Source organism: Homo sapiens, chromosome 2, assembly GCF_000001405.40.
Source record: "Homo sapiens chromosome 2, GRCh38.p14 Primary Assembly".
NCBI classification, from domain to species: Eukaryota; Metazoa; Chordata; class Mammalia; order Primates; family Hominidae; genus Homo; species Homo sapiens.
Genome location: NC_000002.12, coordinates 183,592,725 through 183,608,694, shown reverse-complemented (window position 1 = coordinate 183,608,694; position 15,970 = coordinate 183,592,725). Strand labels below are relative to the sequence as shown.

The following is a 15,970-nucleotide window of genomic DNA, read 5'->3' as shown; positions in this document are numbered from 1 at the left end:
AATTAGTTGTCAGGACTCCAGTTTCTTTCCACTCTAATATATTCTTTATATGACTGAATTGATAGTTCTCTTGACAGTAATCAGCATAGTTGACTACTTCACATTTTAGATTTCGTTAATTCCACGTATGTTCCACAGGCCATATAAGGCCTAATTATGGGAGATGGTCTAGTTAAGATGTTTAGCAAATAGTCTCTAATTTACCCAGCATACATGAGTTGACAGAATAATAGACTATTTTTGCCTGTTTGCTGCTGCCTAGATAAAATTGGTTTCTGGTAATCATCATTCTAGTGGACTTGGCTTTATTAGTAATTATAGTGGAAGCTAAATGTAATTAATATATATTGACCTTCAAGAATCATTTAAATTATATTTTGAAATGTGGGCATTATAAATTACTAATTAAAGAAAAATTAGGGCCGCGATCTCGCACAGGGTCGGTGTGCGCGCAGGCTGCGGCGCTGCGACTCGTGCGGGTAGGCCTCTGCGCTCGGTTTGAGGGCTTGGCGCGGCGTTTCCTGTTCCTTCCTCTGCACGGCTGCAGCTCGGGCCTTCGGCCTGACCCAGCCCCCATGGCTTCAGAAGAGCTACAGAAAGATCTAGAAGAGGTAAAGGTGTTGCTGGAAAAGGCTACTAGGAAGAGTACGTGATGCCCTTACAGCTGAAAAATCCAAGATTGAGACCGAAATCAAGAACAAGTTGCAACAGAAATCGCAGAAGAAAGCAGAACTTCTTGATAATGAAAAACCAGCTGCTGTGGTTGCTCCCATTACAACGGGCTATACGGTGAAAATCAGTAATTATGGATGGGATCAGTCAGATAAGTTTGTGAAAATCTACATTACCTTAACTGGAGTTCATCAAGTTCCCACTGAGAATGTGCAGGTGCATTTCACAGAGAGGTCATTTGATCTTTTGGTAAAGAATTTAAATGGGAAGAGTTACTCCATGATTGTGAACAATCTCTTGAAACCCATCTCTGTGGAAGGCAGTTCAAAAAAAGTCAAGACTGATACAGTTCTTATATTGTGTAGAAAGAAAGTGGAAAACACAAGGTGGGATTACCTGACCCAGGTTGAAAAAGAGTGCAAAGAAAAAGAGAAGCCCTCCTATGACACTGAAACAGATCCTAGTGAGGGATTGATGAATGTTCTAAAGAAAATTTATGAAGATGGAGATGATGATATGAAGCAAACCATTAATAAAGCCTGGGTGAAATCAAGAGAGAAGCAAGCCAAAGGAGACACGGAATTTTGAGACTTTAAAGTCCTTTTGGGAACTGTGATGTGATGTGGAAATACTGATGTTTCCAGTAAGGGAATATTGGTGAGCTGCATATATAAATTTGACAGATAGCTATTTACATAGCCTTCTAAGTAAAGGCAGTGAATTCTCCATTTCCTACTGGAGGATTTATTTAAATAAAATATGCTTATTAAACACTCCTGCAAAAAAAAAATTAGTTGAGAGTATAATATTATATATTTAGAGAGCTACTGATTTAGTGTTCCTTACTAAAAATGGATTCTCCTGACACACTATTAATAAAAATGTATGGGGGCAGGCTGATATGGATTTCTATTATATGAATCAACACTAGATAACAACAAAGTTGGATGCTTCTTTCTTAAGTTATTTTCTGTTATCCAGAGGAAAACAGTGACATCTTTAGTATGGTATTTTAAATCCTTTGTATTCCGACCGCTATTGGCATTTCTATTGTTTCTGCTATACTCTATGCTAGAGCCACAGCCATGATAGGCTGTTTATTTAGCAGACAAAATCCAATTCTTCAAGAGCCACCTGAACTTTGTTCCTTGTGAGGTATTTTTTTCCATAGTTCTGTTTACCATCCATTACTCGGTGCTCCTGAAGCAGTGCACTCATTTCTCCTTTCTAGCACTTACCACCATTAGCTGATTGAATTCCTCCCAACAGCCACACTCTGTGCTACCTGTGAGTAGGAGTAATACTATGTTCTGTGCAATCCAGTCCCCCAAGAAGAGCACTTGGCCCACTGGAAGCAATGAAACACGTTTAATTGATTGGTGCAGGAGACACATTATATGTTAGAGGCTTTTCACTCCTTTCTGTATACCAGAATTGCCAGCAGAGATTTGTGAACCTATGGGTACCTGGACTCCATACCAGACCCACTAAATCAGTACTGTTCAGGGATGACTCAAGGTTTGTGCATTTGGAGCAGAAGTTGCCCAGTTTTTTTTAAAAAACTGAATTTGTAAAAGAATAGATCAATGTAGACTAGAACCACTAGAGAAAGTTTGTAAAGAAGGGGCCATGCACCAAACTTTGAAGTTCTAGGAGAAGATATAACAGGTCAAGAAAAAAAAAAAAAAAAAAAAAAAGAAGCAAAAGTACAAAGATGGAAATAAAGGAAACAATAAAGAGAGCAGTTTTTTGAATAGAAGGTTTATATGATGAGTAATGCTTGATAATTATGGCTAAGCACTATAGGACCAGAGCACGGGGAACTTTGAAAATCTACACAGACTCAGTGCAGTCCACAGAGGCTGATAATCTTAGAAATGGGTGCATCAGTGAATTTTGTAGTCATGCAGCATATGTCTAGGAAAAGGGTAGCTTGATTATTAAAAAGAGGAAGGCCTTATTCATAAATATTTTTTGAAGCCTGCCTTCTGAAATTTGCCAATTTTTTAAAGAATCATAGAATTTTGGAGATAAAAATACTATTTATCTTTTATCCCTAGGTAGAATTCCACAGAAAGCTTATTTCTCATTTAAAAAAAAGAAAAAGAAATGCTTCAATGGTTAAATAATTTGAGATATTGGATCAAGTGGTCCATTTCCTTTCTAAAATCGACGAGTGAATAGGTTATTTTTTAAAACACTGTATGACTTCCCAAAGCCTAAGGTATAGTAATTTATATTAGAAATCTCCAAGAGGGAAGTATAGTGAGCAAGTTTTCCCAAACCCTTTGTTAGAAATAGCTTATTAACATGTAACTGGACACTTAATCCTTTACAGACAAGTTCGGGAAGCATATTATGGCATAGGAGTTTAAGGAAATGACCTTTGGAATTAAGCAACTTGAGTAAAAAACCTGACTTCATGCTGTGAACTGATTTAAGTCGGCTTCATCATTCCCAATTATGAGATTTTTTTAGGTGAGAGCTATAGGTTTTACCTCAACTCATGTGCCCTTTCTCCAACTTGTAAGAGGTGGGAAATTATAATGAGAGCAAGCTTCAGACTAGATCCTTCCACGGAAACAAACAATTTATTAGCACACAGTCAAACAACAGTCATAAAATCTATTACTCTGCTCTTTTGTGAGCGTTTGATATAAAGACCTCCATCCTTTAGACACCTGAACCAGACCTTGCATGAATAGGCTTATTCAAAGCAGATGTTTCAGTCTTCTAGGCAGGCAGAATACAGCTAAATGAATCAGAATCAGACAACAGAATCCTCTCTTAACGGATAAACATAGTTCCAATTGTGTCCTAAGCCCAGAGCACCTGTGCTGATTTGCATTTTCTGTGGAAGCAGGTATCAAGATAGGATTAGGAGTGCAAAAGGTTTATTGAAGAATAACACACATGAAAGGAAACAGAGTGATTTCATAGTGTGGGAGCCTTCAGAGTGAGGGGCAGACCTGACACAGCAGGAGACTGTCAGCCAATCATGCACCTTGATATCCAGGTGGATCGCAGCACCACTCTGAAGTGTGCTGACTTCTGGGATCATAGATTCCTAAATCCTCTTCATGCAAGGGCAAAAGTACTTGTAAATATTTCTAGCCAGTCCACTTATCTGTGTTAACATTAATTTTACCAGTAAAAACCTCTTCTACCATCACTTAGCTAATTAGCAAAGTTTCTACTGCTGATCAGAGATGGAAATAGTCCAAGCTGTAGAAGTGAGCTCTAAGTGTCGAATCCTGATTGGAGTCCATCAACTGCTAAGCAACCACCTGTGTATGAATTCTTAATTAAGGCTCCTGACAAACAGTTGATCTTTGAACAACACGAGTCTGAACTGTATGGGTCCACCTATATGCAGACATTTTTCAATAAACATATTGGATTTATTTTTTGGAGATTTGCAACAATATGAAAAAACTTGCAGACAAATCATGTAGCCTAAAGATACTGAAAAAATTAGGTAAGTCATGAATGCATAAAATATGTAAATACTAGCCTAGTTGATCATTTATCACAGAATATATACAAATGCATAAAAAATGTTTATGAAAACTTATGCACACACACAGACCATACATGGTGACATTGGCAGTCAAGAGAAATACAAACAAAGTAAATGTTTGTTTACAAAGTAGGTGTAATATTAAATTATAACTGCATACAATTAACTATAGTACATACTGTACTATTGTAATAATTTCATAGCCACCCCCGTCGCTATTGCAGTGAGCCCAAGTGTTGCCAGAACCTCTTTAAATAAACACCGTGTGACTCTCATCGTCTCTATCTGAGTGGTTTTATTCTCCAGTAAGTTGCACATGGCAGAAAAAAAAAATGGTATCTTGCAGTTCTCACACATTTTTCATGTTTAATGCAATTAAACATGAAAAATCGAGACTCATAAGAAGTGCCACTGGTGATCCTGCAAGTACTCCCAAGAAGCAGAGAAAAGTCATGGCATTACCCAAAAAAGTTGAATTGCTTTATATGTACCATAGGGTCTGCAGCCACAGTTGCTCTCTGTTTCAGACAATTCATATTGTAAAATAGACGGCATAAACTTATGGTATCCAGGTACAGACTGCAAATAAATTTTCCTTATGATTTTCTTAACATTTTCTTTTCCCTAGTTTACTTTATTATAGTACAGTATGTAATACATATAACATATAAAATACGTGTTAATTGATTATGTTATTGGTAAGGCTCCCAGTCAACAATAGGCTATTAGTAATTCTGTTTTTGGGTAGTCAAAAGCTAGATGTGGATTTTCACATGCTCAAGGGTTGGTGTCCCTGACTCCTGTGTTGTTCAAAGATGAACTGTATTAACTAATTCAAAGGTATAGATTAAAATGCTGTTAATATTCACAATGCAGTCTATGGCAAAATGGTTTTAATGTAAATTAGAAAATGTAATATTACTTCACTTACTGTGTGCTTGGGTTATACACTTAACCTCTTTAAGCATCAACTTTCTTGTTTGAAAAATAAGAATAATAATAGTTTTTACCCTGTTAGCTTGTGGGATGAGTGCCTAACAAAAGAGCTTGATGGATCACAACCCTTATAAAAGTCACTTGTTATTATATTTTGAAGGTGTGGAACATGTAACTGGGGATAAAATAAATCATCAAAGTTATCTGGCTTGTTGGTAAAAGAGCAGACAAGAGTCCAAGCTATGGATTCTTAATCTAATAATCCTGCCAGTACATTGTCACCATTTTTTTAAATAAAGGACTTTATTTTTAATCATATGAGACAACTACATTGGTGGTCTGAACAAAGTTTATTAATAATTTCTTCTCTTGAAATGTATGTATTACTGGGGTGATTAGGTTTCTTAATCATGCCTACCATAAAGTCAACCAATTAATTTCCATCTGGATAAGATCTGTATTATGGTGAGAGTGAAAATTTTGATTGGGCATTAGAAAAAGTATATTTTTGGACTATTAGGTTCTAACTCAAAGATTTTGAAAGCCCAGTGGCAACAAATGCCTGGAGGATAAGAGGCAAGATACATGGAGGTGGAAAATGAGTCAAAAATGGAAGGAAAAGATAATAAAGCATGGCTTGCAAATTTGGCTCAGAATATCATGCTGCTCTATATGTTACTGATAATCACCTGCATTAGTCAGAGTTCTTTAGAGAAACAATCAATATAGGATATATAGATATATAAAATAAGATTTATTATGGAAATTGGCTCACATAATTACGGATCTGAGAAGTTCCACAATATGCCTCCTACAAACCAGAAAATCAGGAAAGCCTGTAATATACATCAACCTAAGCCCAAAGGCATGAGAACTAAGGAAGCCTATGGAATAACTCTCACCCCAAGTCTGAAGGCCTGAGAAAGGATTTGGTGGGAGTTGGGAGTAGAGGGATTCGGGGGGGCTGCTGGTGTAAGTCCCAGAGTCTTCAAAGGCCTGAGAACCAGGAGTTTTGATGTCCAAGGGCAGGAAATTATGGATGTCCCAGCTCAAGAAGAGAAAATTTGTCCTCCTCCTGTGCTTTCGCTTCATTCAGTTCAGCCCTCTGTAGACTGCATGACACTGGCCCGTGTTGGTGGGAGTGGATTTATTTACTCAGTCTACTGATTCAAATACTAATATTTTCTGGAAATACCCTCATAGACACACCCAGAAATGAAGTTGTATCAAATATCCAAGCGCCCCTTAACTCAGTCAAATTGACACATTAACTTATCTTTCAGCTAACTTCTCTAAAACTACACTTTTTATAGTTTCTCTGAAATATGTACTATTATAAGAAGGTCTATTTAGTTTGGCCCTTTTGAGGATGAATTACTCTTTTGAATCTAGATTGATACATTTTTCAAACTTATAAACTCAGTGATTCATTTATTAATAAATATTAAAATGCATTGAATTAATGCACTTTTTTGGGATGGCGATGGGTTATTGATTTCTGCAAATACTATGTATATCATCTTACCTAGGATCAATATATTTCATTACCATACTGGAATATCTTGTGTCTGAAGTTGCACTCTGAAAGTGATTTTATTCTAGAGCTGACAAAGTCTGTTCATGGCTGTCTAATTTTAGGAAAACTTTATCTGCATTTTTGTAGTCTTTTCATACTTAATAAAAGCTATACTGATGTTGTGACTTATCTGTCTTCATGGACTTATTCTCTAGTCTTACAATCAACTGTTTGTATGTTGTATGAATTGTTCAAATATCTCAACTGTAGTGACCTCAATATCCCTGTATCTAACCCTACATGGAGGATTATCATCATCATTATGATTATTTGATTACTTGTTCCACATCTTCTTTAAATAGTTTCTGATTGTGTCATATCTCTTTAATTTTAGATTTCCATTATTATAATTATATTTTGACAACCTTTGTTATATCCATTCTAAAATATTTCATTTCACTGATTGTATAAGTTTTATTTCAATTATACCTGATTGATCTTTAATCATAAGAATAATATTTAATGTCAGTATTGCTACTTTTTCAAGTAGAGAATTATTATTTTGATATTTGATCATTTGAGTGCAAATTTTTCTGTTGGAAAACATTGCTTCCATTCACTTAGAAGTGAAAAAAATATGATAAGGAGTTGAGCGGGCGTGGTGGCTCATGCCTGTAATCGCAAGCACTCTGGGGGGGCCAAAGTGGGCTGTTCACTTGAGGCCTGGAGTTTGAGACCAGCCTGGCCAATATGGTGAGACCCCATGTCTACTAAAAATACAAAAATTAGCATGGCGTGATGGTGTGCGCCTGTATTCCCAGCTACTTGGGAGGCTGAGCTGGGAGGAAGTCTTGAGCCCAGGGGGCAGAGGTTGCAGTAAGCTGAGATAGTGCCATTGCTCTTTAGCCTGGCTGACACAGCGGGACTCTGCCTCAAAAAATAAATAAATAAATAAAGGAGTTGATGGTACTGCTGTGTATATATATTATATATAGAATATATATTTACAGATATACACATAGTATATATGTATGGCATACATGTTAATAGTTGTGCATCTTTCACTTAAAATTTTTAATTCATTTCCAAATATCCTGCTACTAAAGTAAATAGCTATTAAATGGACACAAATATTTTGATTAATTTTAATGGAAAAATTATGCATTTCATCCCAATCCAAGATAGAAATAAAATGTTTTTATGAGAAAAATAAGTATCAGTTTGGAAGTAAATAGTTCATTCAGAAAATTTAATGTAATGAAAGTTTATAGCATTCCCGTTATCTCTTATTTTTCAATAGTTTCGTTAGCACATTTTTAACATTTTAGGGGTCATAGTTCTCTTGTACTCAAATGACACAAACGAAGACACAGCATAGTAAAATCAAAGCAAAATAAGGATCTAACAGGAGACTACATTGAAAAACATGAAAATAATGTATAATGAATGTATAATACAATTGCAAAGTCATAGAAGACTTGCCAAACATTCTCAAAACATTTGTTTTAATCCAAATATGAGGCACAATTCAAAAATGTTTTATTTGATATTACTTAACCAGGCACCTATGGTGAGAATATTAGCATTTTTCTTTACCTGTAACTATAAGTTGAAATATTACTACTTAAAGAGTATTTATTTAATGTGTTTTTTTAGTAAGAGTATTATACTCCCCCCAGACAGAAATTATTATGAAAACAGTCTGTAAATATGTAAGGTAATTCTGTATATTTAGTATAGTTTAGTTTGTGCTCCAACATGAAACATTTTTATTCCTTTAAACCTGCCATTCACTTAAAACAAGCACTCTGTGCTTTACAAAATTTAGATATGTGCAGAGGGTAAATTATGAGTTTATAAAAAGTAAAGTCACATAATTTTAACAAAAATTCAGGGCATTCAGCAGAGTGAAACCACTTCATTCTCTGTTTTTAATAATTGTGGAATCTTCCTACCTGATGCTGATTACTCTCATTTGTAGGATTGAGAGTAAATTTCAATCTACAATACCTCATTGCCATCTAGCACCCATGAAATAACATTCAAGGAAATAAACCAGAACAGAAGAAGACTTTATAAGTTATTTACCACCTCAGTTTCAGCTCCAAAGTAGCTAAAATATTTAACAGTCCTTATCTGTTACACAAAATTCTTGTTATAATCGATAACTTCTGGTCTAACAGATATCTTCCTTACTGTTGTCGAACTTCCTTACTGTTGTGGAACTTTCCATACTTCCTTTTTTCTCCATCAAGACACACTTAGGGATTTTTCTAGGGCGAAGCTTGGGGTTGAGGAGCTTTCTAAAAATTAAATTTTTATTCTTATTTATGCTGGAGATGTTGGGTTTTGTTGATGAGTATGAAAGTTGTTTTGCTGCCCAACTATGGCCTGACCATCAGCAAAATCAGCATCACTTGTGAGCTGGTAAAAAATATAGAATCCTAGGCCTCATTCCAGACCTACTGAAACAGAACCACGTTTGTTGGAACAGAAAATTCATATTTGAAATGAATCAATTGGAGTAGTTGAATCCAAAAAGAAAGGTATAAGAGTTTAAGGGATAGTTGTGTGACCAAGGTGAGACAACCTGATGTTAAATTATGTGATTTAGTGAAAAAGGAAAGCTATATGCAACAAAATAAAACATAGCACACTCCTCTGTGCCGTATTATACCCTAATCACAAGTATGAACTGAGGAAAAAAGAATAAAGCAATATGCTGAAGAAATAGCATAATTTCTTTTTTGAATTGCATATTAGCCAAAAGGAGATGCCGGTAATATATATCCTTCTTATTCCTGTGGCATTTATTTTAGGGATCCACACAAAGAGGATAACACATGCATCAAATCCAATGAATTTATAATTTATTACTCAAGTAAAATAGGATTTTTTCCAGCTTTTCTTATCTTCAAACCACTTTTAGTTTCTTTGATTGCATCAAGAAATAGCTACAAATTAAGTGCCAGTGAGTAAATACCTGATTATAATAGATTATTGCTTCTGATAATTTCCAAATAAGAAAGGCTTATTATACTCTTTTGACCAGGAGTGTGTGTCCAATCTCCAGTAAGCTTGGAGGAGGCAGGAGGGAGGAGCAAGATACAATTCATGATAACTTAGCTGGGCACACAGCCAATATTCAAAACCAAGAATCCAAAATCCACAAGTTGAAGGTCTTTCTATAACATTCCAACCAATATATGTGCTGCTTTTACTTTTAGAAATTTCAGATATTTATGTAGCTGTAATACGTAGTTTTATTTACCTCCTGTTTATAATTGCATGGTGATGTATGCATATAAACCTTTACTGTAATTATTTCATATTCAATTACAATTACAAAATATTTGATTTATCCTAGTGATAATTCAGTTTCACAATTAAATGAGTTGCAATTGATTTTGCTTACATCTAGAATCAACTTTAGTGACAGGAATTTCTTGTTTTGGCAATATTTTAAAAAGTGTCTAAATTGACCTTTCATTGTTGACTTTGGAATATTTATTGTATTTTTTCCTCATTTTTAGCAATATATTTTAAAATTTATTTTTCCTACTCACTTAAAAGCTATAAGCCTGCATTAAAACTATAAGTCTGTATTATTCAGGTAAAAGAAAAGCATATTCATTATTGATTTACTACTATATCTCTCAATTCTTCAAATTAGTACAGCAAATACTGCAACAAAGGCAAACAAAAGTGAATTTGAAACATATTTGCAAAGCTACAGACAAAGTGTAACATGCTTAGTTTGACTCTTGGTCCTATGTTTTAAGATTATTATATAGTCTGAATTTTGATCAGCTATCCACCTACCTATGCAGAAATTTATTTTGCTGTGGCACCACTAGTTAATAAATACAAATTTGATAGTCTCACTGCTACAATGTAGGAGAATAAAACAAAGAGGAGATTTGAGTGAGTAAAGTTACCCCATTGTGGCAAGGTCTGCTAGCTGAGCCCAAATCTTTCACCTTTCTTGTGGGTGTGGTCCTATGACTAAATTCTTAACTATGGTATGTGAGTGGAGTGATGTGTATAACTCCTGGTTTAACTGATTAAGTTGCCTACCCTGAATTTTCTCTCTTTCGTTTCTTGGTGGTTGAAAACAGCAACAACTGAAAAATCTTGGAAGTGACATGTTAAGAATAGAACTATCCTAACTATCTGGTTAGTCTGGGTTCTGGGATGACTTTTTTTGAACTGGGACCAACTATCTGCCCTGAACTATTATGGGAAAAAGAAAAATGAATTCCTATGTTTTCTAACCAGTGTAGTTTTCTTGATGACAGTAGCATAGCCTTCGATCTAACTAATGCAACTACTCACACATTTTTCTGGTAATCATAGTTAGGATGGCCATATAATTGTCCAAACTGAGAACTTCTGGGGATAAAAGGGTTTTCAATTAATAATGAGTCTAGGAAAGCTGGTGTAAGTTGGCAGTGTTAGAATGAGGAGGTGGATGGACTGGAGCAGAGCAGCTCTGGTTGTAAAGCCATTTTTCTTTCCCTACAATGGCAATCTCATTATGTCATTCATCTAAGCATGTTATAAGGCTGGCTCACAGACTGAGATCTTTCACCATTTGGATTTATAATAGGTACTATTATTTTGTGAGCACAACATTTCAGATAATGGACACTTTTGGTCCCCCTAAAACCTTTAGTAAAATAAATGAGAAAAATTGGGTTGTCCCAGGGCTATCCTCTTACTGAATACCCACATTTCTTTGACCCTACTCCCAGTGGCCGTGGGGTTTTTGTACAGTCTTAAGACAGAGTTACTCCAGGTTCTTGTTCCCAGGAGCCTTGACTTCTCTAATTAACCTCTGAGTTTGGATTCCTCACTTATAAAATAAGACTAAGAATACTTGTTTTCCATTGCAATTGTGAAGGTTAAAAAAGAGAAACCACATAAGTTTAACATGGTGCCTGGCCAGTGAAAACCAGTCAAAGTCAGTGGTAATAACCAAATAAAAGGGAGTCCCAAAGTACCTAAAACTAGACACCCCCAGAGCAGAACTCATCATCATTTAAAAATATGTACATCTTTGTTGTATCATCTTTTTTTGCTAATAATTCCATGAGACATTCTTGTGTCCACACTTGAGTATTGGCTTCATGTTTACCTCCATCTTCTCTTTCATCCCCAATTCCAGTTGGTCACATCATCCTGTTATGCCCATCTCTTGGATCCTGCCCTCCTCTTCCTTTCCACTGCTACTATAGTTCACCTTCAGGTCCTCTCAGGACCAAGCAATGACAATAGTCTTTTAACCATTCTTTTGCATCGCAAATTTTTTTTTCTATAGCCAACGCCCCACATAGCTACAAAATTTTTTATATGAAAATAACATTTATTGCTTTTTTTGATGGAAAAAATCCATGAACAAGGTATCAAATTTGGGAGGTTGGGGGAGTAGAGTACAAAGAAGAATTTAAAATTTCTTGTTAATACCTACAGATATTTTTTCTTCTACTCATATATTTAGTCTTATAAGAATATTTTTTCATAAGTAGAATCATACTATATATATTTTGCCAACTTGGATTCAAGTCCTGGATTAAAAGGATTATAGATTGTATCAATTACTAGAATTTCTAGTGTCATTTCTAATGTGATTGATAAAATTGAGAACTCTTGACTTCCTGCCTCTTTTTAAAAAGCTTATTTTAGTAGGATACCTGTCAAAATAAGAAATATTTTAGAGCTTTTTCTTTTTTCCTTCCCTTCAACCTATCATTTCTAGGAATAGAGAGTTTCTATGTACAGGCCTCCATGATATACCAGATTCCTTATTTTCACCTGAATTTAGCAACTAGGCCATACTTGATATCCTTGGTTATTTCTCTTAGGGATTCATTATATAGCAGTGTACATTTGGGAAAATCAGAAGATTCTCATAGCAATAGTGCTACCACCTGGCTTACCCATTACAGCTTTATGCTTTTTCACCTGATTTAAGAGATGAGGGAATTTCCAGATCTTTCAGGGTATAAATTATCTTATCTTCTTAATTAGAAAATATATGCAATTATCCTTGGGGCATTTCTGCCCTAATGCATCACTCATTTGTTCTTTAAAACACTCATATTCCCTTTCCATGGGTTCCCATAGCCCAAAGTATGAGTAAACAATTGCTGATAAACAGTGACCACTTTGTGTTTACATATATGTTCCAAGACTTCAATTAATATTTTTAAGCCCCCAAACTAAAGTATTAATAATAGAGAAATGAGCATTTATTGGGATAATTATATGATGAAATGGGTTGCATAGCAGCCTCCCCAAAAGATAGGTATGCCTCCTAATTCCCAGCACTTGTGAATATTACTTTATTTAGAAAGAGGGACATTGCAGATATTTTGTTACGGATCTTCAGATGATGAGATAATCCTGGATTATCCTGGTAGACCCTAGACCCAATGACAAGTATCCTTATGAGAAAAAGACAGGGGAGATTTAACACAGAAAGATGAGAAGAAACACACAGAGGAGAAGGTGATGTGAAGACAGAGGCAGAGATTGGAGTGAAGTGGTTACAGGCCAAGGACACTAGTGGTGACATTCACCAGAAGCTCCCTGCAGACACCTTGATTTCAGATGTCTAGTCTTTAAAACTATTATAGAATAAATTTCTGTTGTTTTCAGCTACCCAGTTTGTGGCAATTTGTTTCAGTAGTCACAGAAAACCAATACACATGAAAAATCCTTTTAAAGGTCGTTTTTCCCAAGTCAGATAAAGAGCTTTGGTTTTTTTGTTTGTTTGTTTTTTAAGACAAGTCCTTACTCTGTCACCTAGATTGGGTGCAGTGGTGCGGTATCAAGGCTCACTGCACACTGCAACACTGAACTCCTAGAGTCAAGCAATCTTCCCATCTCAGCCTCTCAATTAGCTGTGACTACAGGCACACACCACCAAGCCTGGCTAATATTTTAATTTCTGTAGAGACAGCGTCTTGCTGTATTATCAGGGCTGGTCTCAAACTCCTGGGCTTAAGTGATTCTGCTACCTCAAGCCTCCCAAAGAGCTGGGATTACAGATATGAGCCACCATGCCCAGCCAAAACCCTCTCATAAGCCAAAAATATTCTTACCAATATTTGTAACAGATAGCAAAATGTGTTTTTTAAAAAATGAGGGAATTCTACTTTTGATAAAGATGGAATAACAGGAATGGGACTTACTCTTGTATTAGTTTTCTATACCTGCATAAAAATTGCCATAAATTAGTGGCTGAAAACAACACAAATTTATTATCTCACAGTTATATAAGTCAAATATGAACACAGCATGACTGCATTCTCTAGTGTCTCACTGGGCTGAAATGAAAGTATTTCTCGGTCTGCAGTTCTCCTTGGGGGATAAGGGCCCGCTTCTCCAAGCTCACGTACTCTTAGCAGAATTCATTATGTTGCCGCTGTAAGACTGAGGTTTCTATTTTATTGATAGCTGTGGGATGGGAACTACTCTCAGCCCATCAAGCCCACCAACATTCCTTGCCATGTGACCTCCTCCACCTCTAAAGTAAGCAATAGTATACTGAACTTCTCTGAATTCCTCTTCTGCAATCAGTGAAGAAAAACTTTGCTTTCAAAAGATTTATGTGATTAGGTCAGTTCCATCCAGACAATCTTCCTATTAAGGTCAATTGATTTGGGGCTTTTATTATATCTGCAAAATCCCATTACAGTAGTGCTTAGATTAGTGGTTAATTGCATAAGTGGGAAAAGACATGTGTGCCCCAGATGTGGGAATCCCACAGAGGCCACCATCTTAGAATTTTGCCTATCACAACACTCCTCTCTGAAACAACTAAAACACTAGGTAAGATATATGAAACAGTGGTTCTTATGTCGCTGGTCATCAGGCAATGGTGGACAATGGCTACTAAGAGATGGAAACAGATGAATCCTACAATTACTGCAGTTTACTGCCTGGAGATAGTTTCTAGGCTAGAGTACAAGGAGAAGAAACCAGTAACAGTTCAGCAGTCCCTCCAATAGAACTGAGAGCCTGTGAGACCAAAGGCAGAGTTCTGGAGAAGAGAGAGTGACACATTGAACTCCAGAGATCTGCAAAGGGTCCCTTTCATGTCTTCAACATAGCACTAATCAGCATATGCAAGTATAGGACTTAGGCTCAGTCAGGAGAATATCACTCAAAATGATTGAATGTATTGAAGGGATCATCTCCAGGATGTATACAAACTGGGAAGCAGTTCCTGTTTCTACCAGATACATTAGGATATGTCATAATTCATGGGCTATTGGGTAGACTATCTGAAGTATGTTGCTTTAGTTGTGGGTTAGTATTACCTAGACTAAATTGAATGCTAGCGTTTATATAACAAATCTTAAAAGCATAAAAGGGTCAGACTGTTCCAAGTAAATTAACTGCAGCCCAGGACAAAACTTGAATATTTATAAAAGTACAAAAATATCTAGCACTCAACAAGGTAAAAATTCATATGTCCGGTACCCAAGAAAAATTTTCAGACATGGAAGGTATCAGAAAAATGTGACATATAATTATGACAAAGTCAGTCAATAGAAACATGACTCAGAAATGGTACAGATAATAGAATTATAGATGAAGATGTGAAAAAAATTGTAGCTATATTCCATATGTTCAAGAATGTAGAGAAAAGGTTATTGTGGAGAGACATGTAAAATATAAAGAAGGCCAAAATTGAATTCCCAGAGATTAAAAAAAAATCTAAGATGAAAAATACGTTGAATAGGACTAATAGCAGATTCAACTGCAGAAGAAAAAGATTAATGAACTTGTAGACATGGCAATAGAAACTATCAATGAAAACCAGCAAAAAGACTGAAAAAAAATGAATAATGTATCAACAAGCATGGGACAAATGAGATATATATATATATATATATATATATAATTTTTTTTTTTTTTTTTTGAGACAGAGTCTTGCTCTGTCACCCAGGCTGGAATGCAGTGGCGCAATCTCAGTTCACTTCAACCTCCGCCTGCCAGGTTCAAGCAATTCTCCTGCGTCGGCCTTTCAAGTAGCTGAAATTACAGGCATGTGCCACTATGCATGGCTAATTTTTTGTATTTTTAGTACAGACAGGGTTTCACCGTGTTAGCCAGGATTAGCCAGGATGGTCTCGATCTCCTGACCTCGTGATCCACCCACCTCGGCCTCCCAAAGGGACAAAATTTAATGGCATTTCTATATAGTAATGGTCAGGATTTTTACTCCTTAGTTCAGCTAAAATCGGGTTTCTTGTCTAACGACCAGGAAAAATTAGGCACACAGACACAATCAAAGGTGAGGAAAGTGGAATTTA

General features: G+C 35.9%; 1 pseudogene; it reads left to right on the top strand.

The window, feature by feature from the left end:
* On the top strand, nt 420–1,455 carry CACYBPP2 (calcyclin binding protein pseudogene 2; annotated as a pseudogene).